This window comes from Homo sapiens (assembly GCF_000001405.40).
Source record: "Homo sapiens chromosome 14 unlocalized genomic scaffold, GRCh38.p14 Primary Assembly HSCHR14_CTG1_UNLOCALIZED".
Taxonomy (NCBI): Eukaryota; Metazoa; Chordata; class Mammalia; order Primates; family Hominidae; genus Homo; species Homo sapiens.
This window is the reverse complement of record NT_113796.3, coordinates 57,975-81,916: the sequence shown is the minus strand read 5'-3', so window position 1 is coordinate 81,916 and position 23,942 is coordinate 57,975. Positions and strand designations below refer to the sequence as shown.

Sequence of the window (23,942 nt, the reverse complement as noted above, 5' to 3'; positions counted from 1 at the left end):
TGCAGGTGACGTTGCCTTTCTCCCTAGCTGCCTTTAACAGTGTTTCTTTCATTTTGACCTTGGAGAATCTGATGATTATATGTCTTGGGGATGATCTTCTCATGGCTTATCTTACTGAGGTTCTCTGGATTTCCTGAATTGGAATGTTGGCTTGTCTGGATAGGTTGGGGATATTCTCATGAATGATATTCTGAAGTATGTTTTCCAAGTTGGTTCCATTCTCCTCATCTCTTTCACGTACACTAATCAGTCATAGATTTGGTCGTTTATATAATCTCATATTTCTTGGATGTTTTGTTCATTCATTTTCCTTCTTTTTTCCCCCATTCTTGTCTGCCTGTTTTATTTCAGAAAGCCAGTTTTCAAGCTCTGGGATTCTTTCCTCTGCTTGGTCTATTCTGCTGGGTGGTCTTGCACATGAGATGGAGCTGGTGTGACAGTCCTCCTTAGTCTGCTTGCCTCTCCCAGGACCCCAGCCTGGCCACACCTGCTTACAGGGCAATCTCAGGTGCCCACACACACTACAATAATTTTCATAATGCAATCACACATAATCACTATGTGACTGCATTATGAAAATTCTTGTAGTGTGCTTTTCAGCTCTATTCGGTCGGTTATGTCTTCTTTATACTTGCTATTTTGTCTGTTAGCTCCTACAATGTGTTACAATGATTTTTAGCTCACTTGTATTGCATGACAACATACTTCTTTCACTCAGTGAACTTTGTTCCTACGCATATCCTGAACCCTGCTTGTATCATTCCAGACAGCTCAGCCTCAGCCCAGTTCTGAACACTTGCTGGAGAGTTGATACAGTCATTTGGAGGAAAGAAAGCATGCTGACTTTTTGAGTTTTCAGTGTTCTCGCACAGATTCTTTCTCATCTTTATGGGCTTATCCACCTTCCATCTTCGAGGTTGCTGACCTTCGGACAGGGTATTTTTGTTTTATTGTATTTGATGATCTTGAGGGTTTCATTGTGGGATAAGGTGGATTCAACCAACTGGCTTTGTTTTTGGAGGATTTTAGGGGGGCCAATGTGCAGCTTCCAATTCCTGGACTGTGTGCTTTAACTCTGGGGAACTTGTCTTGGGCCCCAACTTTGTTCTCTGGCTCTTGGAGGTTTGGAGTCCACTGCACTGAGGGGACCAAAGTGTGGCAACTGTGGCAGAATGCTAGTGGATGCAAAAGTCCCTGCCTCCCTGCGGGCATTCACCCAGTGGTGGAGGCAAGACAGCTGGGGTGTGGGCCAGGGGTCCCCTGCTGTGTGTGTGTTGCACTGGAGGTAGTGTTGGTTCAGGGTGGGCTGCTGGCCAGTGCAGGCCATGGTGCCTTCTCTGTGCCCCTCAAAGCAACAGTGGTCACTCAGGGTATAAGAAGGTCCCTTTTTCTCTGCACAGAATTAGCTCAAGGGTTAGGTGCTGGCAGGGGTGGGGTTCTTGGTTCTGTGCCCACCAAGGCTCTGTCTTCAATGGCAGTTGGTGTGGGTTGGGGTGTGTCCTGCACTCCCCTGTGCTGTCAGGGCAAGTACAGCAAAACCCACATGTGTAAACACACACAGCAAAGTGATGTAGGAAGTTTCCATATAAAGGGCTGCAGTATGGAGACGTAATGTGCAGGCTGGTGCGTGGCTGTTGGGGCCACCTTGCTGCAGCTCTCCACTGATCAGGTACAGTCCACTAGCACGGAAGCTATGCTGTGGGCATCCGAGAGTGCCCTGTATGCAGGTGTGGCCAGGCTGGGGTCCTGGGAGAGGCAAGCAGACAAAGGAGTGCTGATATCAGACCAGCCCCATCTCATGTGCAAGACTGCCCAGCAGAGATCAGGTCTCAGAGGAGAACTCTCTCAAAAGTGAACCCCCAGCACAGCATAGCTGCTTTACACAAACATGGCCAGGCTTCTTTTTTAAGCAAGTCCCCTTTTTGAGGAGGGGAACTCTGGGACCTGATCTCTGCTGGGCAATCTTGAACATGAGATGGGGCTGATCTGAACTTAGCATTCCTAAAGTGCTGGGATAAAGTATCTCACAAGGGCACGTGGAGCCTAGAGAGATAGGTGTCCCTGCTCTCTGGGCTCCACATCACCTGACTTGCTGCTCCACCACTCCGCTTGTCTCCTGGGTACTCCATCCCATAGAGATGTGAGTTAGCAATCACTTAGAGTAATCAGCCCAGGATGGAGGGTCTGTGTTGTGAGGCCAAGCCAGTGTTCCCTCTCTGGTGATGAGCAGTGGGGGGTGTGTGGTACCCGTGGGAGATGGACTGGCTTGTTCATTGGGTCAACCGCAGCTTATTGGAGGTGTCAATATGGCACTTAGGGTCTTTGCTCCCTTGATATTCTGAGGGTAGCAAGGGCAGTTTCACTGCGGAGGCAATGGCAGAGAGAATTTCGTTTGCTCCTGGAAGCTCTGTCCAGGGAATTGCTGAGTTGCTACTGGCTGGATAGCTCTGATGGTGGACTGGCTGGAGACCCAGGTCAGTAGGACCTGCCCATCAAGTAGACTGTCTGGCCACTTTTCTGTCAGGCTGCTGTGGTATGCTGGGGGTCCCCTCCAGTCCCTAACTGCCTTGTATTTTCCAGGGAAGATGATAGCCTGCCCCTTCCTCTGGGAGCTCTGTGCCACTGAGGTATGAACTTGTTGCCAGTATGAACACACCTATAAGATGTGACTGGAGACAAGTTGAGAAGTCTTATCTAGTCAGGAGGAACAAAAACAGGCACTGAGTTAAAAAAAAAAAAGTCTGGGCATGTTTTTCTAGAGCAGCTGTGCTATGCCGGGTGTTCCCTTCCACTCCTGGTTGCCTCAGACACTCTGAAGCCCTAATGCTGAAATGGCTGAGTTGCCCCAACAGCAAAGACAACAGTCTGGTCCTCCCCCTGGGAGCTCTGACTCAGGGAGGCCTGAAACCTCTGTCGGCCAGAGAACAGCAGTGAAGGCAGCTGGAGACCCTGGTTGAAAGGCTTCACCTGCTGATTAGAAATGTGGTCGGGGACTGACTTAAACAAGAGTCTGGCCACGTTTTTGTAGTGTGGCCGTGCTGCGCTGAGGTTCCTCTTCCACCCCTTGTCACCTTGGGCTTTCCAAAGCCCGCAAACCAGAACGGCTAGTCACCCAAACAGCAAAGGTGGTGGCCTGCCCCTCTCTCTGGGAGCTCTGTCCCGTGAACACTTCAAATTTCTATTGGCCAAGGAATGCTGGTGGCGGTAGCTGGAGGCCCCATTTGGGAGGTCCTGTACAGTGATGTGCAACAGGGTCGGGGGCCTGCTTACAGAAGCATTCTGGCCATGATTTGGTAAAGCAGCTATGCTGTGCTGTGGGATCTCTTCTGCCCCTTGTCGGTTTATACTCTCCAAAGCCCTCAGGCTGGAATGACTAAGTTGCCTGAACCGGAAAGATGGCGGCCTGCCCCATCTATTCTCTCAGAGTTCATCTTGTTTGATGGAGTTTAATTTTTAGCCTATTAATTTTACTGTCTACATTAGACTTGTTCGGAAAGAATCTGCTATATTTTAGGTTAGATATATGAGAATTCATTGTTTTCTGTAAATAAACCTGTTCATGTCTTGTTCTCTGGAAAGAAATCTCTTTCAACTATCTGACTTTGGTCACAGTCATGTAGAGCAGTATCCAGTCTATAATGACAATTGAATTTCCATTTCCAGTGTTTTGTTTTTGTGTCTTACATTGTACAGTTCAGAAATGAGCATTTTATTCCCAATTGTCAAAATGCTAAGCTGTCCACTGTACTGAAATACTGTTTTTGTTAATGCTTCGTCATTCAATTTTTTTTAAGGTGAACACTTTTATCCAACTTTTCTCAAGTCAGAGTACAGGTAAGCCCTGGCTGCCTCGAACCACTCTCAGGGAGACCAAAACCCTTCATACATTCCAAGTTGGGATACAAAAAAGTGGGGCCATGAAGGCTAGTCATTCAAAATAAAACAAAATTTAAAAGTATTAAGGCAAAGATTTAAAAAAATTTGCATTATGTAATTTACACAAAAGCAATGCTATCGCCTACCATGTGTGAACTCGGGAGAGGACTGGGCCATTCTCCTTAGAGAGAAGTAGGGTGGCTTTTAGGAGGGCAAGGGACTTCCTGAAACAGTGCATCTCACAATATTTGGAATGACTATTGAAAAGAAGAACATTGTACAATCAAAGTCCTTGGCAACATTGTAGAACTAGCGGGTGCTGACCCCTGAGCCACAACCACAGTTCTGGGTTTGGGGTTTGGTAAAACCACCCCAAGGACAGAGTTCTGGGGCCGGGTTTTGGAGGAACCAAGACGCCTCCCAGGGATGGTGTGTCACTCCTGCTTGCCATGAAATGTGCACACAGTCTGTCCCCCTGCCCATCCCATCCTGCTGGACAGGATGGAGGAAGTGAGGGAACAGGCAGGGTGGACAGCTGGAATTCAGGGAGAGGCAGGTGCATGCTGGGAGGTCAGGACCTGTGAGGGCTGTGGGGGCATCAGGTGGAGTGGGCTCCAGGTGCACCCTCAGTGCACAGGGCAGGTCTCAGGCCAGGCTCCCTGGACCCCGGCTGGGTGATGTGGTCACTCCCTGGGGGACTGCTGTCAGACCCTGGCCACCCTCCCTGGGCAGCACCGTCCCATCCCAGAACTGGACTTTCTGAGTCCTAAAACAGGACAGTGCTGCCCAGGCCTGACAGACTGGGAGGACCTGTGAAGTCCTCCATCCCTAGACCAGCCTCCCAACAGCAGGGACAGTCTCCTACCTTTACCTTCAGGGCACTGACTGGTACATCTCATTCTAAGGCAACCAAGGCAGAGCTGAGGACCTGTGCCAGGCTGGGAGCCAGTCCTCTCCCTAAATGGGCCTTAGGGAAGCCTCATGCCTGTCCCAGTGCACTGCAAGTTTCAGCCCAGGATACACATAGGGAAGTGAGGACGGGGCCTCCCCACTGGCTGACCCTGGAAAAGTGGGACCTGGGAGAAGAGGGAGTGCAGGGCTGGCAGGGGATGCTCCAGGCCCATGGAGAGCTCAGGCTGCACCAAGGGGCTTCCCCTCCTGTGCTGGAGGCTGTGCCCTCTGCAGTATCTGAGGAAGTCCAGTCCTGAGATGGGACAGTGCTACCCAGAGTGGGTGTCCAGCACCTGACAACAGTCTCCCAGCAAGTGACCACATCACCCGACCAAGGTCCAGGGAGCCTGGGCCAAGACCTGCCCAGTGCGCTGAGGGTGCACCTGGAGCCCACACCACCTGACGCCCCCACAACCCTCATAGGGTCTGACCTCCCAGCATGCACCTGCCTCTCCCTGAAACCAAGCTGCCCACCCTGCCTGTTCCCTGGCCTCCTCCATCCTGTGCAGACCATAGACTGTGACTATCTCTCCGACCACTCTGGCCCTTCCTTTACCTTTGTCCTGTCAGAATCTCTGAGCAAGATCTCCCAGGTCCATCCAAACACCTGCTTTGTCCACTTTTGACTGGGCCATTGAACACCACTGGGCCACCCCAGCTGTCCACAGGCTCCTCGATAACATGCATTTCCCCTGACATCTCCCAGCAGTACTCAGCAGCCCCCACTGACCAGGTCCCTGGTGACCAGTTCCAGCATATCACTTCCTCCCTGACCACACCCTCACTGATTAGAGCCCCATCACCAGGCCTCACTAACTAGATTCCCGCTGCCAGGCCCACAATGACCAGGACTCCACTGACGAGGACCTTACTGACAAGGCCTCACTGGCAAGGCCTCACTGGCAAGGCCTCACTGACGAGGTCCTTACAGACAAGGCCTCACTGATCAGGTTCCACCGATCATGACCCCATTGTCTGGTCCCACAGATGAAGCCCCACTGGCCAGGCCTGCAGGGAATAGGCAGCCAGTGACCAGGCCCCTGCTAACCAGGACTGAGGTGACAAGATGCTCCTGACTGGGACCCTAATGACTACGCCCCACTGAACAGGCACGCACTGCTCAGATCCCCGCTGACCAGGTCACCCCGTAGACCAGTGCTACAAAAGCCACCAATGATCAAGTCCTCTCTGACCAGGCCCCCACTGATTAAGTTCCAAGGACCAGCCTGCCCTGACCAGGGCCCCACTGACAAGCGTCTCTGCTGACTAGGTCCCAAGGTCTCCACTGACCAAGTCCCACAGCCCAGGTTGGCACTGACCAGACACCAAACATTTGTCTACCACTATCAACCCACTCACCAAGGCATGCACTACTAGATCCCTCTAATGAGACCCACTCTAAGCAGACCCCTGCTGACCACCCCCCACTAAATAGGCCTCACTGACAAGTCCCAACTGACTAGGTCCCCTGAGCAGGCCCACACTGATCAGGCCCCTCCTAACCATATCAGAAGACCAAGAGGCAATGAGATGTTTCATATGGCAGGAGTAGGAGCAAGACAGAGAGGGGAAAGAGGCGTGACATCCTGTTAGACAACCAGATCACATGAGAACTCACTATCAGGAGATCAGCATCAAGAAGACTAACCAATGGTGAAGGATTCTCCAACCACACCACCGCCCACTGCTTCCAGGCAGAAGCCTCCTGCAGAGGCAGAACCTCTTATGAAACTTCCACTATGGCAGTGCAGAAGGAAAATATAGGCTTTGAGCCCCCACACAAGAGGCCACGATCCTCCAGACTCCAGATTAATAAGCCCACCAACAGCTCACACTCTGAGTATGGAAAAGCTACAGGCACTCAACACCAACCCAGCCCATGAGAGCAGCCATGGGGGCTACACCCTGCAAAGCCACAGGTGCACTCTCCTAGTAGAGGTTTCCCATGAGCCTCTGCCTCTGCAGCAGGTTACTCCCACCCTCCCACCACCCTACTGACAACCTACTCCTCCCCACACTATCCCTCCTTTTCCTTCCACCCCAACCCCCTCCCATCCAAGATTAAGTCACCTCCCACCTGGCCCACCTCCAACATTAAGGATGACACGTGAGTTTTATAGGGACACACAGCCAACCCATATTATTCTGACCCTGATTCCCCAGAACCTCATGTCCTTCTCACAGAGCAAAACACAATCATGCCTTTTCAAAAGTTTCCAAAAGTCTTAACTCATTCCGAATGTAAAAATTTCAAAATCTCATCTGAGACAAGGTTACAGTCCCTTCTGCCAATGAGTCCCTGAATTTAAAAGGGATTTCTTTTCCTTCAAGGTAGAACAGGCATTGGGTAAGGTTTCTCAATCCAAAGGGAAGAAGTTGCCCAGAAAAATAACACAAATGCAAGTCCAAAACCCAGCAGGACAGTATTCACTCAATCTCACAGCTCCAAAATCATCAAGAGGACTCACTGTCGTGCGGACAGCATTAAGGAGATAGTGTTTACTCATTTGTGAAGAATCTGCCCCCCACCTTCACCTTTCACTCCCACCCACAAAATAATCTCTCCCATTCTCCCCACACCCCTACCTCCAACACCCACTCTTCTCCATGATTAAATCACCTCCCACCAGTTCCCACCTTTAACATTCCCCACTACAATTCCACATGAGCATGGGTAGGGACACAGAATCAAATTATATTATTCTGGCTCTTGCTCCCCAAATCTTGTATCCTTGTCACACTGCAAAATACACTGATGACTTCTCTACTGTCCCCCAATGACTTAACTCATTCCAGCATTTACTGAAATGTACAAGGACTTACAGACCCCATGCAAGTCAAAAACCCAGCAGGCCAGTCATTGAATCCTGCAGCTCCAAATCATCTTTTCTGAATCTACATCTCACATCTAGAGCACAGGTGTGTGATGCCTGGGCTTCCAAGGCCTTGGGCAGCTCTACACCTGTGGCTGTGCAGGGTCTATACCCCACAGCTGCCCTCATGGGCTGGGCTGATGTTGAGTGCCTGTAGCATTTCCATACTAAGGGTGCCAGCTGTTGGTGAGTCTATGAATCTGGAGTCTGGAGAATGGTGCCTCCATATTTAGGGACTCCAGCCCTAAATTCTCCTTCGGTACTGCCCTAGTAAAAGTTTCCCATGAGGCTCTGCCTCTTGGAAAAGATTTTGTGTGAACACCCAGGTTTTTCCGTACATACTCTGGAGTCTAGACAAAGGCTTGCAAGCTTCTAGTTTTGTGCTGTGTGCAGCTGCTGGCTTAACACTATGTGGAAGCCACCAAGCCTTGAAGCTTGCACCCCTGAAGCAGTGATGCAAGCTGTACCTGTGCATCTTTCAGCCAAGGCTGGAGCTGGAGCTTCAGGAATGCAGCCAGCAGTGTCCTGAGGTTGGACATAGCAGTGGGGCCATGGGGCTGGAGAAGGAAACCATTCTTTTCTCCCAGGCCTCAGGGCCTGTGATAGCAAGGGCTGCTGCAAAAGTCTCTGAAATGCCTTCAAGACCTTTTTAACATTGTATTGGCTATTAGCACTGAACTCCTTTTTATGCACATTTCTGAAGACTTTTTGAACTTTCCCACTGATAATCAGCTTTTCTTTTTGGCCACTTGGCCAGGCTTCAAATTATCCAAACTTTTAAGCTCTCCTTCTCATTTAAATACAAGTTTCACCTTGAGGTCATTTCTTTGGTCACATATAGGACCACAGGCTGTTCGACACAGACAGGAAACCTCTTAAGCTTTGCTGCCTAAAATTTCATTCCACCAAATACACTCTAAATTATCACCCTGATGTTCAAAATTTCACAGGTCTCCAGGTTAGGGGCATTGTGCAGCAACAATCTTTGCTAAGAAAAAAACAAAAGTGACCTTGACTCTTGTTCCCAGCAAGCTCCTCATTTTCATGTGAGACCTTCTAAGCCTGGTGATCACTGTCCATCCTTCTGTCACCTTTTTAATTATAACTATTTAACAAGTCTCTACACTGTTCCAAACTTTTCCTCATCTTCCTGTCTTCTTCCAAGACCTCCAAACTCTCCAACCTCTGGCCATTACACACTTCTCAACCTGCTTCTACATTTTCAGCTACGTTTGTCACAGCCTGGCAATGTGGTAAAAGAAGAAAAGTCTATTTCAGGAGAAAAATTAATGCAGGCTTCAGACATTTGCCTGAAAAGAAGCTGAGTGCTGATTGCCAAGAGAATAGGAAAAAGGCCTTGAAGGCATTTCATAGTTCCACTTTATAGCATTATTTTTCTGTATAATCAGAAAGAAAAGAGGTTGAACTGGCTCATGGTTCTACAAGCTTTAAATAAATCATAGAGGCTTCTGCTTCTGGGAGGACTCAGGAAGCCTCCCAATCATACCAGAAGACCAAGCAGCAATGGGATGTTTTATATGGCAGAAGTAGAAACAAAACAGAGAGAGGAAAAAGGTGCCACGCGTTGTATAACCCTGTTATACAACCAGATTTCCTGAGAACTCACTATCACAAGGTCAGTATCAAGAAGATGTTGCTTAACCATTGGTGAAAGTTCTGCCCCCTACCACCCACACCCCTCACTGTTTCCGGGCAGAAGCCTGAGGAAGAGGCAGAGCCACTAGGAAAACCTCTAATAGGGCAGAGCAGAAAAAGTATATGGGCTTGGAGGCCCCACACAGGAGGTTACCATCCTCAGACCCCAGATTCATAGACTCACCAACAGCTTGCACTCTCAGTATGGAAAAGCTACAGGCACTCAAGCAACAGCCCAGCCTATGAGGGCAGCCATGGGGGCTACACCCTGCAAAGCCATAGGTGCACTGCCCTGGTGGAGGTTTTCCTTGAGGCTTTGCCTCTGCAGCAGGCTACTCCCCCTTACTACTGCCCACGAAACTCTCACCACCCTACTGCCAGCCTACTCCTCCCCATCCTACCCATTTGTTTTCCCTTCCACCCCTACCAACCTCCTGTTTGTGATTAAATCACCTCCCACCAGGCCCAACCTACAACTGTCAGGAATACAATTCCCCATGAGTTTTTGTAGGGAAACACAGCCAAACCATATTATCCTGACCCTGACACCCCCACATCTCATGTCCTTCTCACACAGAAAAATACAAACATGCCTTTTCAAAAGTTTCAAAAAGTCTTAACTCATTCCAGCAGTAACTCAAATGTAGTAAGTTCAAGTCTCATCCAAGACAAGGCTGCAATCCCTTCTGCCTATGAGTCCCTGAATGTAAAAAAAAATTCTTTTCTTTCAAGTTACAATGATGGCACAGGCATTGGGTAGGCTTTCTTAAACCAAAGGGAAGGTTTTCCCAGAAAAATAACACAAATGGGACACAGGCCCAATCCGACTCCAAAACCCAGCAGGACAGCATTCATTTATCACGAGAACTCACTATCACACAGACTGCATTAAGGAGATAGTATTTAAACATTTGTGAAGGATCTGCCACCCATCCCCATGTTTCACCCTCACCCACACCATGAACCTCCATTCTCCCACATCCCCCTTCCAACCCCCATTCTCTACCATGATTAAATCACCTTCTACGAAGCCCCACACTTAACATTCCCCATTATAATTCCACATGAGTTTTGGTAGGGACACAGAGCCAAATCGTATTATTCTCCTTTGGCCCCCCAATCTCACACCCTTCTCATACTGCAAAATACAATGATGCATTCTCTACAGTCCCCCAATGTCCAGCAGTAACTCAAATGTCCAAAGGCCAAAGTCTTCTCTGAGACAAGGCTGCCATATCTTCTGCCCTGAGCCTCTGAAATACAAAGCAAGTTAACCACTTCCAAGTTACAATGATTGTACAGGCATTGGGTAAGCATTCCAAGCCAAAAAGTAGAAATTTCCCAGAAAGAAGCACAAAACACAGATGGGACTTACAAACCCCCTGCAAGTCAAAAACCCAGCAGGCCAGGCATTCCATCATACAGCTCCAAATCATCTTTTTGGAATCTATGTCCACATCCAGAGCACAGGGTTTTGTGATGGCTGGGATCCCAAGGCCTTGGGCAGCTCTGCACATGTGGCATTGCAGAATCTTCCCCCTACAGCTGCCCTCATTGGCTAGGCTGGTGTTGAGTGCCTGTAGCTTTTCAACACTAAGGGTGCAAGCAGCTGGTGGGTCTATGATACTGGGGTCTGGAAAATGGTGCCTCCCTGTATGGGGACTCCAACCCTATACTTTCCTTTTGTACTGCCCGAGTAGAGGTTTACCATGAGGCTCTGCCTCTTGGAAAAGCTTCTGGTTAGACACTCAGGATTTCTGATATATCCTCTGGAGTCCAGACCAAGGCTCTGAAGCTTCTAGTCCTGTGCTTTATGCACCTGCTGGCTTAACACTATGTGGAAGCTACCAAGGCTTGGAGCTTGCATCCTCTGAAGCAGTGACACAAGCTGTACCTGTGCATCTTTCATCCATGGCTGGAGCTGGAAAAGGAGCTGCAGGGATGCAGGCAGCAGTGTCCTGAGGCTGCACACAGCAGTGGAGCCATGGGGCTGGGCCAGGAAACTATTCTTTTCTCCTAAACCCCAGGGCCAGTGACAGCAAGGGCTGCTACAAAGTCTCTGAAAAGCCTTCAAGGCCTTTTTCCCATTGTCTTGAATTATTAGCACTGGGCTCCTTTTTAGGCAAATATCTGAAGGCTTCTTGATTTTCCCCCTGAAAATCAGCTTTTCTTTTTGACCATTTGTCCATATTACAAATTTTCCAAATGTTGAAGCTCTGCTTCTCATTTAAATATAAGTTCCAACTTATGGTAATTTCTTTCATCACACATAGGAGCACAGGCTGTTCGACGTAGGCCGGACAACTCTTCAGCTTTGCTGCTTAGAAGTTCATTCCACCAGATACACCCTAAATCATCACCCTAAAGTTCAGTTTCACAGATCTCCAGGGAATGGTCACTGTGTAGCCAATTACTTTGCTAAGGCAAAAGAAAAAAACCTTGGCTCCTTTTCCCAGTAAGTTCCTCATTTTCATCTGAGACCTTACAAGCCTGGCCTTCAGTGTCCATCCTTCTGTCAGCCTTTTAATCATAACTATTTAACAAGTCTCTGCAATGGTCCAAACTTTCCCTCATCTTGCTATCTTCTTCCAAGCTCTCCAAACTCTCTAACCTCTGGCCATTACCCAATTTGGAACCTGCTTCTACACTGTCAGCTATCTTTGTTGCAGCCTGGCGATATGGTAAAAGAAGAAAAGTCCATTATCAGGGGAAACATCAAGATGGCCTCCAATATTTGCATTGAATAAAGCTCAGCGCTAATAGCCAAGAGAATGGGGGAAACGCCTAGAAGTCATTTCATAACTTCACTTCACAGCATTAATTTTCTGTATCTACATAAAGAAAAGAGGTCTAATTGACTCACAGTTCTTCAGGCTGTAAAGAAAGCATAGTGGTTTCTGCTTGTAGGAGGACTCAGAAAGCCTCCCAATTATACCAGAAGGCCAAGCGGCAATGAAATATTTCATATGGCAGGAGTAGAAGCAAGACAGAGAGAGGAAAGAGGTGAGACATCCTGTTATACAACTATATCTCATGAGAGCTCACTATCAGGAGATCAGCATCAAGAAGATTGTGCTTAACTGTTGGTGAAGGATCCGCCCACCTCCCCATATCCACCACCCACTGTTTCCAAGCAGAAGCCTGAGGCAGAGACAGATCCCCTTGGAAAACCTCTACTAGGGCAGTACAGAAGGAAAATATGGGCTTGGAGCCCCCACGCCACCATCCTCCAGATCCAAGAGTCATGGACCCACCAACAGCTCACACCCCCAGTATGGAAAAGCTTCAGGTACTCAACACCAGCCCAGCCCATGAGAGCAGCAGCAGGTGCTAAACCCTGCAAAGCCACAGGTGCAAAACCACAGGTGCACTGCCTTAGTAGAGGTTTTCCATGAGCCTCTGCCTCTGTGGCAGGCTACTCCCTTCCTGCTACACACCACCCTACAGCCAGCCTACTCCTCCCCCCCTTACCCACCTGTTTTTACTTCCAACCCCACCCCTCTCCCATCCATGAATAAGTCACCTCTCACCAGTCCCCACCTGCAACATTCGGGATTACAATTACATGTGAGTTTAGGTAGGGACACACAGCTAAACCATATTATTCTGACCCTGATCCCCCAATATCATATCCTTCTCACAGAGTAAAATACAATCATGCCTTTTCAAAAGTTGCCAAAAGTCTTAAGTCATTTCAGCATTAACTCGAATGTAAAAAGTTCCACGTCTCACCTGAGAAAAGGCTACAGTCCCTTTTGCCTATAAGTCCCTGAATTTAAAAGGGAGTTCTTTTCTTTCAAGGTACAATGATGGTACAGGCATTGGGTAAGTTTTCTCAATCCAAAGGGTAGAGGTTTGCCAGGAAAATAACACAAATGGGATCACAGGGCCAATGCAAGTCCAAAACCCAGGAGACCAGTATCCATTAAATCTCACAGCTCCAAAACCATCACGAGAACTCACCATCATGAGGAAAGGATTAAGGAGATGGTGTTTAACTATTTGTGAGGGATCATCCCCCCACCCCCACTTTTCACCCCTCACCCCCAGCATAATCCACCCATCCTCCCCAGTCTCCACCTTCCAACACCCAGTTCCCTCCATGATTAAATCACCTTCCACCTGGCCCCAATTTTAACATTTCTGATTACAATTCCACATGAGTTTCCATAGCGACACACAGCCGAATCTTATTATTCTGTCCCTGCCTCCCCAAATCTCATGTCCTTCTCATTTTGCAAAATACAGTGATGCCTTACTTACAATTCCCCAAGCCACTATGCTTTTTTTTTTACAGCCTGCAGAACCATCAGCCGATTAAACCCCTTTTTGTTATGATCATACAGAAAATTAGTACTGTGAAGTGAAGCTATGAAATGCCTTCAATGACTTTTCCCCATCGTCTTGACTAAGACCTCCAAGGTCTTAACTCATTCCAGCATTTACTTCAATGTCTGAAGCCCAAAGTCTCATCTGAGACAAAGATGCAGTCCCTTCTGTTCCTGAGCCTCTGAAATACAAAGCAAGTTAACTATTTCCAAGGTATGATTGTCCAGGCATTGAGTAAGAATTCCCACCCTAAAGGAAGATTTTTGCCAGAGAGAACAACGAAACACAAACGGGACTTACAGGTCCCAGGAAAATCCAAAACCCAGCAGGCCAGTTACTCAAACCTACAGCTCCAAAGTCATCCTTTTCTAATCCTTGTCCCACATCCAGGGCACAAGGGCATGAGGGCTGGACTCCCAAGGCCTTGGGCTGGTCTGCACCTGTGGCTTTGCAGTTTTCAGTCCCCACAGCTGCCCTCATGGGCTGTGCTGGTGTTGAGTGCCTGTAGTTTTTACCCACAGAGTGTACAAAGCTCTTGGTGGGTCTATGAATCTGGGGTCTGCATATGGTGGCCTCCAGTGTGGGGGCTCCAACCCCCTATTTTCCTTCTGCACTGCCCTAGTAGAGGTTTCCCAGGAGGCTCTCCTTTTTTGGCAGCCTTCTGTCTGGACACCCAGGCATTTTCATACATCTTCCAAAATCTATATGAAGGCTCTGAAGCCTCTGGGCTAGTGCTCTATGGACTAGCTGGCTTAAGACTATGTGGAAGCCGTGAAGCCTTATAGCTTGTACCCTCTGAAGCAGTGATGCAATCTGTACCTGTGCATCTTTCAGCCAAGGTCGGAGCAGGTGCTGCGGCTGCTGGGATGCAGGCAGCAGTGTCCTGAGGCTGCACACAGCAGCAGGGCCATGGGGCTGGCCCCAGAAACCATTCTTCTCTCCTAGGCCCCAGGGTCTGTGACACCAAGGGCTGCTGCAACCATCTCTGAAATGCCTCCAAGGCTTTTTCCCCCCATTGTCTTGGCTATTAGCACTGGCCTCCATTTTATGCAAATTTCTGGAGCCTTCATGAATTTTCCCCCTGAAAATCAGCTTTTCTTTTTGACCACTTGGCCAGGCTGCAAATGCTTCTAAACTTTTGAGCTCTGCTTGTCATTTAAATATAAGTTCCAACTTGAGGTCATTTCCTCGGTCACACATAACCTCGGTCACACAAGAACACGGGCTGTTTGATGCAGACAGGATCCCCCTTGTGCTATGCTGCCTAGAAGTTCATTCCACCAGATATGCACTAAATCATCACCCTCAAGTTCAAAGTTTCACAGATCTCGAGGGCAAGGTCGCCCTGCAGCCATGTTCTTTGCTACAGCAAAACAAAAGTAACCTTGGCTCCTGTTCCCAGTAATTTCCTCATTTTCATGTGAGACCTTGTAAGCCTGGCCTTCACTGTCCATCCTTCTGCCAGCCTTTTAATCACAACTATTCAACAAGTGCCTACGATGGTCCAAAATTTCTTTCATCTTCCTGTCTTCTTTCAAGCTCTCCAAACTCTCCAACCTCTGGCTGTTACCCACTTCTGAACCTGCTTTACATTTTCAGCTATCTTTGTTGCAGCCTGACAATGTAGAAGAAAAAGAAGTCCATTTTCAGGGGGAAACTTCAAGAAGGCTTCAGATATTTGCATTAAAATGAAGTCCAGTGCTAATAGCCAAGACGATGGGGAAATGTCATTGAAGATATTTCATAGCTCCACTTCGCAGTACTTTATTTTCTGTATGATCATAATGAAAAGGGGTTTAATTGGCTCATGGTTCTGCAGGCTGTAAAGAAAGCATAGTGGCTTCTGCTTCTGGGAGGACTCAGGAAGACTCCCAATCATACCAACAGGAAAACAGCAATGAAATATTTCATACGGCAGGAGTAGGAGCAAGGCTGAGAGAGGAAAGAGGTGCCACACCGTTATATAACAAGATCTCATGAGAACTCACTATCACTAGGTCAGCATCAAGAAGATGGTGCTTAACCATTGGTGAAGGATCCGCCCCCCAACACAGCTCCACCTCCTAGTGTTCCAGACAGAAGCCTGCTGCAGAGGCAGAGGCTCTTGGGAATCCTGTACTATGGCAGTGCAGAAGGAAAATAAGGGCTTTGACTGACTATGCAGGAGGCCACCATCCTCGAGACCCCAGATTCATAGACCTACCAACAGTTCACACCCTCAGTATGGAAAGGTGATAGGCTCTCAACACCAGCCCAGCCCATGAGAGCAGCCATGGGGGCTAAAGCCTGCAAAGCCACAGGTGCACTGCCCTGGTAGAAGTTTTCCATGAGCCTCGGCCTCTGCAGCAGGCTACTCCCCCTTCCTAATATCCATCACCCTCCCACGGCCCTACAGCCAGCCTACTCTACCCCACCCTACCCACCCCTTTTTTCTTCCACCCCTACACCTCCCATCCATGATTAAATAATCTCCCACCAGGCCCCATCTCCAAAATTTGGGATTACAATTCCACATGAGTTTTTCCAGGGGCACACAGCGAAATCATATTATGCTGACCTTGACCCCCCAAATATCATATCCTTTTCACAGAATAAAATACAATCATGCCTTTTCAAAGGTTTCCAAAAGGCTTAACTCCTTCCTGCATTAACTCAAATGTAAAAAGTTCTAAGTCTCATCTGAGACAAGGCTGCAGTCTCTTCTGCTTATGAGTCCCTGAAGTTAAAAGGGTGTTTGTTTCTTTCAAGGTACAATGATGGTACAGGTACTGGGTAAACTTTCTCAATCCAAAGGGAAGAAATTTCCAAGAAAAATAACACAAATGGGACCACAGGCCCAATGGACATCCAAAATCCAGTACGTCAGTGTTCATTCAATCTCACAGCTCCAAAGTCATGAAGAGAACTCACTATCAGAAGGACAGCATTAAGGAGATGGTGTTTAACCATTTGTGAAGGATCCACCCCCACCCCTGCCTTTCACCCCCAACCCCACCACAATCCCCTCCAACCCTCCCCACCCCCGATTCCCTCCAACCCTCTCCACCCCAGAATCCCCCCCACCCTCCCGGTGCCCCCAACCATCCAACCTCCACTCTCCACCATGATTAAATCACCTTCCATCAGCCCCCACCTTTAACATTTTGCATTAACATTCCACATGAGTTTTGGTAGAGACAGAGAGCCAAAACCTATTATTCTGTCTCTGGTCCCCCAAAGTTCATGTCTTTCTCACATTGCAAAATGTAATGATGCCTTCCCTAGAGTCTCTCAAATCTTAACTCATTCCAGCATTTACTCAAATGCACAAAGCCCAGAGTCTTATCTGAGACAAGTCTACAGTCCCTCCTGCCCATGAGCCAGTGAATTGTAAAGCAAGTTTACTACTTCCAAGGTACAATGATTGTACAGGCAGTGGGTGACTCATAGGATACATAAGTGTCCAAAACCCAGCAGGCCAGTCACTTAATGCTACAGCTCCAAAATCACCATTTTTGAATCCTTGTCCCATATCCATGGCAGAGGGCTGTGAGGGCTGAGCTCCCAAGGCCTTGGGCAGATCTGCACCTGTGGCTTTGCAGCGTTCAGCCTCCGCAGCTGTCTCTCATGGACAGGGCTGTTGTTGAGTGCCCATAGCTTTTCCACAATGAGGGTGAAAGCTGTTTATGGGTCTATGAATCTGGGGTTTAGAGAATGATGCCTCCCTGTGTGGGGGCTTCAACCCTATAGGTCCCTTCTTTGCTCCTCTAGTAGAGGTTCCCCATGAAGCTCTGCCTCTTGGAAAAGCTTCTTCCTGAACATCCAGGATTTTCTGTACATCTTCTGGAGTCTAGATGGGAGTTCTCAATCCTCTAATCTCTTTCTCTGTGCACCTACTGGCTTAACACTATATGGAAACCATCAAGACTTTGAGGCACCTCTGAAGCAATGACCCAAGCTGTACCTGTGCATCTTTCAGTCATGGCTGGTGCTGGAGCTGCACGGATGCTGGCAGCAGTGTCCTGCGGTTGAGCACAGCAGCAGAGCCATGGGACTGCCCTAGGAAACCATTCTTTTCTCCTAGGCCCCAGGGCCTGTGACAGCAAGGGCTGCTGCAGACATCTCTAAAATGCTTTCAAGGCCGGTTTCCCACTGTCTTGGCGTTTTGCACTGGGTTCCTTTTTATACAAATAACCTAAGCCTTCTTGAATTTTCCCCCTCAAAATCGGCTTTTCTTTTTGACCACTTAGCCAGGCTCCACATTTTCCAAACTTTAGATCTCCACTTGAAGTTCCAACTTGAAGTCACTTCTTAGGTCACCCATAAGAACACAAGCTGTTCAATGTAGGCAGGACACCTCTTGTGCTATGCTGCCTAGATGTTCATTTCACCAGATACATCCTAAATCATCACCCCCAAGTTCATAGTTTCACAGATCTCCAGGGCAGGGTCCCCATGCAGCCAGCTTCTTTGCTAAGGCCAATCAAATGTAATCTTGTCTCTTGTTCATAGGAAATTCCTCATTTTCATCTGAGAACTTTTAGGTCTGGACTTCAGTGTTTACACTTTTGTCAGCCTTCCTATCACAAGTATTTAACAATTCTCTATAGTGGTCCAATATTTTCCTCATCTTGCTGTCTTCTAAGCTTTCCCAACTCTTCTGACCTCTGTCTTTTACCCACTTCTGAACCTGGTTCTACATTGTCAGCTATCTTTATCACAGCCTGGCAATGTGGTAAAACAGAAAAGTCCATTTTCAGGGGGAAAGTTCATGAAGGATTCAGATATTTGCATGAAAAGAAGCTGAGTGCTGGTTGCCAAGACAAAGGGGAAAGGGCCTTGAAGGCATTTCATGGCTCCACTTCATAGTACTAATTTTCTGCATGATCATAAAGAAAAGAGGTTTAATTGGCTCACGGTCCAGCAGGCTGTAAAGGAAGCACAGTGGCTTCTGCTTCTGGGAGGATCAGATCAGGAAGCCTTCCAATCATACCAGAAGGCCAAGGGGCAATGAGATGTTTCAAATGGCAGGGGTAGAAGAAAGACTGAGAGAGGAAAGAGGTGCCACCCCCTGTTATATAACCAGATCTCATGAGAACACACTATCATGAAGACAGCATCAAGAAGATGTTGCCTAACCATTGGTGAAGGATTTGCCTCCCACCCCCACCTCCCACTGTTTCCAGGCAGAAGCCTGCTGCAGATGAAGCTTTCTTGGGAAACCTCTACTAGGGCAGTGCAGAAGGAAAATATGGACTTGGAGCCCCCATGCAGGGGGCCACCACCCTCCAGACCCCAGATACATAGACCCACCAACAGCTTGCACCCTCCGTGTGGAAAAGCTACAGGCACTCAACACTAGTCCAGTCCATGAAAGCAGCCATTGGGGCTCAAACCTGCAAAGCCACAGGTGCGCTTCCCTAGTAGGGATTTTCCATGAGACTCTGCCTCTGCAGCAGGCTACTACCCCTTCCTACTACCCACCACCCTCCCACCACCGTACAGCCAGTCTACTCCCTCCCACCCTACCCACCCCTTTTTCCCTTCCACATCCACCCCCACCCATCCATGATTAAATCACTCCCTCCCTCTCCCTGTCATAATCTAATCCCTCCAAACCCTTCCAATCCTTGTTTGCTACCCACTACTGAGCCTGCTTCTACTTTTTCAGATATCTGTATAGCAGGTTGGCTATGTAGCAAGAACAAAAATCCCATTTAAGGGGAAACATTCAAGAAGATTTCAGAAATTTGCATATAAAGAAGCCCTGTGCTAATAGCCAAAACAAAGGGAAAAAGGCCTTGAAGGCATTTCACAGCTCCTCTCTGCAGTTCTACTTTTCTGTATTATTGTAAATAAAAGAGGTGTAATTGACTCATGGTTCTGCAAGCTGTGAAGGAAGTATAGTGTCTTCTGTTTCTGTGAGGAATCAGGAAGCCTCCTCATTATATCAGAAAGCCAAGGGACAATGAGATGTCTCCTAAAGCAGAAGCAGGAGGATGAGATCTGTTAAACAACCAGATCTCATGGGAACTCACTCATTATCAGGAGTATAGCATCAAGGTGATGGTTCTTTATCATTCGTGAAGTATCTACCTGCACCATTTTATGACTAAATCTTTTTCCACCTAGACCTTGCCTGTAACATTACAAAATATAATTCCACATGAGTTTTGGTAGGGACATAGACAAAAACCGTATTATTCTGTCCTTGACCCAATGAATCTCATGTCCTTCTCACATTGCAAAATACAAACATGCCTTGCCAGCAGTCTCCCAAATTCTTAACTCATTTCAGGATTAACTCAAAGTTACAAAGTCCAAAGTCTCATCTGGGTCAAGGCTACAGTCTCTTTTGCCTATGAGTCTCTGAAATAAAAAGCAGGCATTGTGTAAGCTTTCCATTTCCAAAAGGAAGACATTTTCCAGAAAGCTTCTTATTTCTCTCTGAGACCTCCTCAGCCTGGCCTTCACTGTCCATGTTTCTGTCAGGATTTTTGTCACAACCATTGAACCAGACTCTAAGATGGTCCAAAAGTTTTCTCATCTGTCTTCTTTTGAGCCCTCCAAACTCTTCCAACCTCCGTCCATTACCTGGTTCCAAAGCTGCTTCCACATTTCCAGGTATCTTTATAGCAACGCTCCAGTCCTCATTTGCCATTTCCCGTATGATTTATTTTGAAAAAGAGGTTTAATTGGCTCATGGTTCTAAGCACAGTGCTTCTGCTTCTAGGCCTCAGAAATCTTTCAATAATCATGGAAGGCAAAGAAAGAATCAATTGTCTCACATGGCAAGGGGAAAACACGGAGAGTGGGGAGGTGATATAGAGATTTCAGTGACTACATCTCATGAGAAGTTACTCATTATTGTGAGGATGGTACAAGGGGATGGTGCTGAACCATTCATGAGAAATTTGCCTTCATAATTCAATCACATTATACCAGGATCCACCTTCCACATTAGGAAATATAATTCAACATGAGATTCGGTGGGGACACATATTCAAATTGCATCATCAATCTTTGAATATAAAGACATCCACAGCAGGCTTTATCCAGCCAACTTCTTTGAGACTCTTTATAGAGTTTTAAGTCTAGAGCATATACACTAAAATATTCATACTTCGAAAAGCAATAAAGTGGTATTATCATTTTTCCAAAAGTTACAGCAGTAGTTTAGGCATTCATAGTATGATTTAGTTCACGATTGCTACTGTTTCTATTCTATCACCATATTAACTGTTTCCTATACAATTCTGTATTCAACTGGATTTCAGTTGAGCACAAAACCATCCTTGTACTAGCTCTTTGCTAGTGTTATTATTCTGCTGTAGAAAGTATCCTTGAACTGGAAACCGTCCACGATCGAGTATCGAGTCATTCAACACTATCAATTCCTGGGTGACTTTTTGAAAAAGTAGTATCTCTTGTTGCAAGAAATGCTGCATCTGTGAGTCCATGTCTCTCACTGGAATTGGATGGAAGTGGTGAATTTCAGCCAAAGTGGCCAAAGAAATCCTGTTCCTGTGATTCTGACGTCATCAGCCTCTGCACCTCTGTCTTCCCTTCTGCCACATGTTGCCTGCTCTCCATGACTTTGGTAAGAGCTTCCTTGTGTATGTGGATGATGTCCAGGATGTTGGTCTGGTGTCCCTGAGACAGCACTAACAGGTCCATGGCTAGGTCCAGGTCCTTCCTGGACTGACTGGCAAAGAGCTCACTGACAGAGTGGAAGGCATCTATACTGAAGTGGATGGCCTGGTCCAGCTCCAAGGCCTGGCTGAGGCTGAAGAACTGTCAGGCTTCTGATGCTCTTTCTCAAAGCCTGCCACCACTCATTGGCTGTGAAGTTGAGCTGAGTGCCCTGTTGTCCATCTTCTTGGTGAAGCACTTGAAGCCGTCAATCTTGCTCTCCCACGCCTAAAAGTTGAGTGTCACACTGGGGGTGGGCTCAGGGCCAGGAAGAATCTGGCACTCACCATCTCATCCTTCTCAGCCTTCCTCTTGCCCTGTCTCCAGGCTATCTCTTCAGTGCTGGTGGAGCACATCAGGAAGTGACAAACAATGTGGCACTGCACCTGCATCCAGAAGCTGGCTGTGTGGTTCATCTACAAGATTGGGCCCTTTCTGCACTTGAACATAGATCCACTTCACCATAGATGCCTTCCACACTGTCAGTGAGCTCTTTGCCCATCAGCCCAGGCAGGATCTGGACCCAGTCATGGACTTGTTAGTGCTGTCTCAGGGACACCAGGCCAACATTCTGGACATCATCCACGTACACAAGGAAGCTCTTACCAGAGTCCTCCTCAAGATGGCCTGTGGTCTGCCTCTTGGCACCCGAGAAGCCCACAGTGCTGTAGAAGCCCCGATGCTTGGACTGGAGCCCCAAAGGCGGCACACACCCCAGTTCTGAGCCTGCTGCTCATTTCCTCTATGTGGCTCCATTTGCAGCACATTTGTTGCACTGAGGCCTGTGCATGCCAGGCAAAGCCAAGCTGGCTCAAAGAGCAACCACCCACCTCTGCAATGGTGTGCCAGGAGCCAGTGGACCAGCCACCAACGTCACTCCCTGCCAGTCAGGGTAAATCAGTTATTCTGCCCTGGAAGTGGAGCCCCAGTGCCATCTGCTTTTCCTCAGGCCTCCGCTCCATCAGCTGTCAGGTTGTGGTCACTCAGACTGTGGGAATCTGGCCATCCCTGTTTCCTTGAGTGGGTGAGGTTGGTGACTGCTCCACCTGCTCCTGGCACACCCTTGCAGAGGTGGCTGGTTGCTCTTTGAGCCAGCTTGGCCTTGCCTGGAATGCACAGGCCCCAGGTACTGAGAAGCTGCTCCGAGTAAGTTTGTCTTGGGCCAAATTCTAAGTCTGGCCAGGGCCACAGAAGGCCGAGTCCCCTGGGTGGTAATCCTGGCTGCTGCAGGGGGGCCCATGGTACCCCTCCCCTCCCAGGGCTCAGGATGAGGTCCGACTGGGACAGGATGCTTTAGGTATGGGACTTGTGCCCCAGGAGGGGACCTCTGTCACACAGGTTGGGTGAGAAGATATATGGCATGCTGCTGGCTGCCAGGGCTGTTGGGATGCACGTTCACCCTTCCCTTCAGAGACCTCAAAGTGACCAGCTTTCCCTTTATGAATGACTTGCAAGGCCCAGGAGCCATTTGGGGCTGCAGAGCAGCTGGCTGCATGCTGCCCTGGCTTCTTCCATGTTGTGCTGGTCACTACCTACCAAGGGGGGTCAGATGCAGGCACAATGTAGGACGATTGTCTCTGGACCTGTGTCTTGGTTATCATGGAGCTAGACTGGGCCTGGTGACAGGGCCCTGATGGGGTTGTCCTGTGTGGTCACGGAGGTGATCAGAAAAGATGCAGAATGGAATTGCTGCGAGGATGAATGAGATGACTGTCAGCACATAACAGGCAGCTGGTGAGTGTTCAGGGATTACCCTCAGTAGCTGCCCAGAGGCCAAAACCACCCACCTGATAGTGACTTTTCCCAAGCCAGGAGGAAGAGAAAAGAGCAGGTCCCACTCACCTGAATCTGATCAGTGAGCTGTGTTGAGATGTGCCTCTCATCTAGAAAATGGTCCTTCACGCAGAGCTACTCACAGACACTGCTGTGTGTCTCTAACTGCTCCACAACACAGAGGCGATGGGGACTCAGCAACAGTGACATTGTGGGGTGACACAACCCACCACCATGGGAGTCTGCTTGGGTCAACAGGGCCCAGAGTCAGTGTCCTCTATCCCCTGAACTGACATGTGTGTATGCAATGTATTTGTGTATGCATGTGTGCCTGTGTGTGTGTGTGTATGTGTGTGTTTGTCTTGCTTCTCTGGACAGGCTTGGCTTCTCCACTCATGGGTGCACCCAGGTCCTCATCACTGTCACCTTAGAGCATTAGAGCCTCTATAGGTGCTCCCCAATCTCTGCCCTCCCCACCCATGGTGGTACTGGGGATGCAGACAGAGGAGGGGCACTGCATAATGCTGAGAGGGCTGGCACACTCTCTAGGTGGAACACAGGTCATTTGTAAAGTTGTAGGTCTGCCAAGCAGTATTGGATTCAACACATCTTCTCACCTTCTCTTTCCAGCGACCCTCCAGGGTGCCCCGACTCACTTTCCCTGCAGATGGAGGCAAGGAGGCTCCACAGACAACCTCCCTGCCTGAGGTCAGATAGTGGCCAGCAGGCCAGGTACTGACAAACTGCCCCTGACCAGGTTCCCAGTGATGAGTGATGAGACCCCTAATGACCACTCCTCCATTGACCAAGTCC

The 23,942-nt window shown here is 48.3% G+C and overlaps 1 long non-coding RNA gene and 1 pseudogene across 6 annotated transcripts in view, besides 1 other annotated feature; one reads left to right on the top strand and one right to left on the bottom strand.

Moving 5' to 3' along the window:
- LOC105379271 (uncharacterized) overlaps nucleotides 1–23,942 on the top strand; it is a 114,785-nt gene that overhangs the window by 42,931 nt on the left and 47,912 nt on the right. The gene's annotated exons all lie outside the window — the stretch shown is intronic.
- Nucleotides 1,237–1,738: an enhancer, noted in NCBI's record as "H3K4me1 hESC enhancer chr1:143422995-143423496 (GRCh37/hg19 assembly coordinates)". NCBI's record gives its function as "activates a minimal SCP1, AML or CMV promoter by ChIP-STARR-seq in naive H9 embryonic stem cells {active_cell/tissue: H9 hESC(naive)}" and the evidence as "EXISTENCE:reporter gene assay evidence [ECO:0000049][PMID:30033119]".
- On the bottom strand, nucleotides 21,056–22,629 carry SNX18P20 (sorting nexin 18 pseudogene 20; annotated as a pseudogene).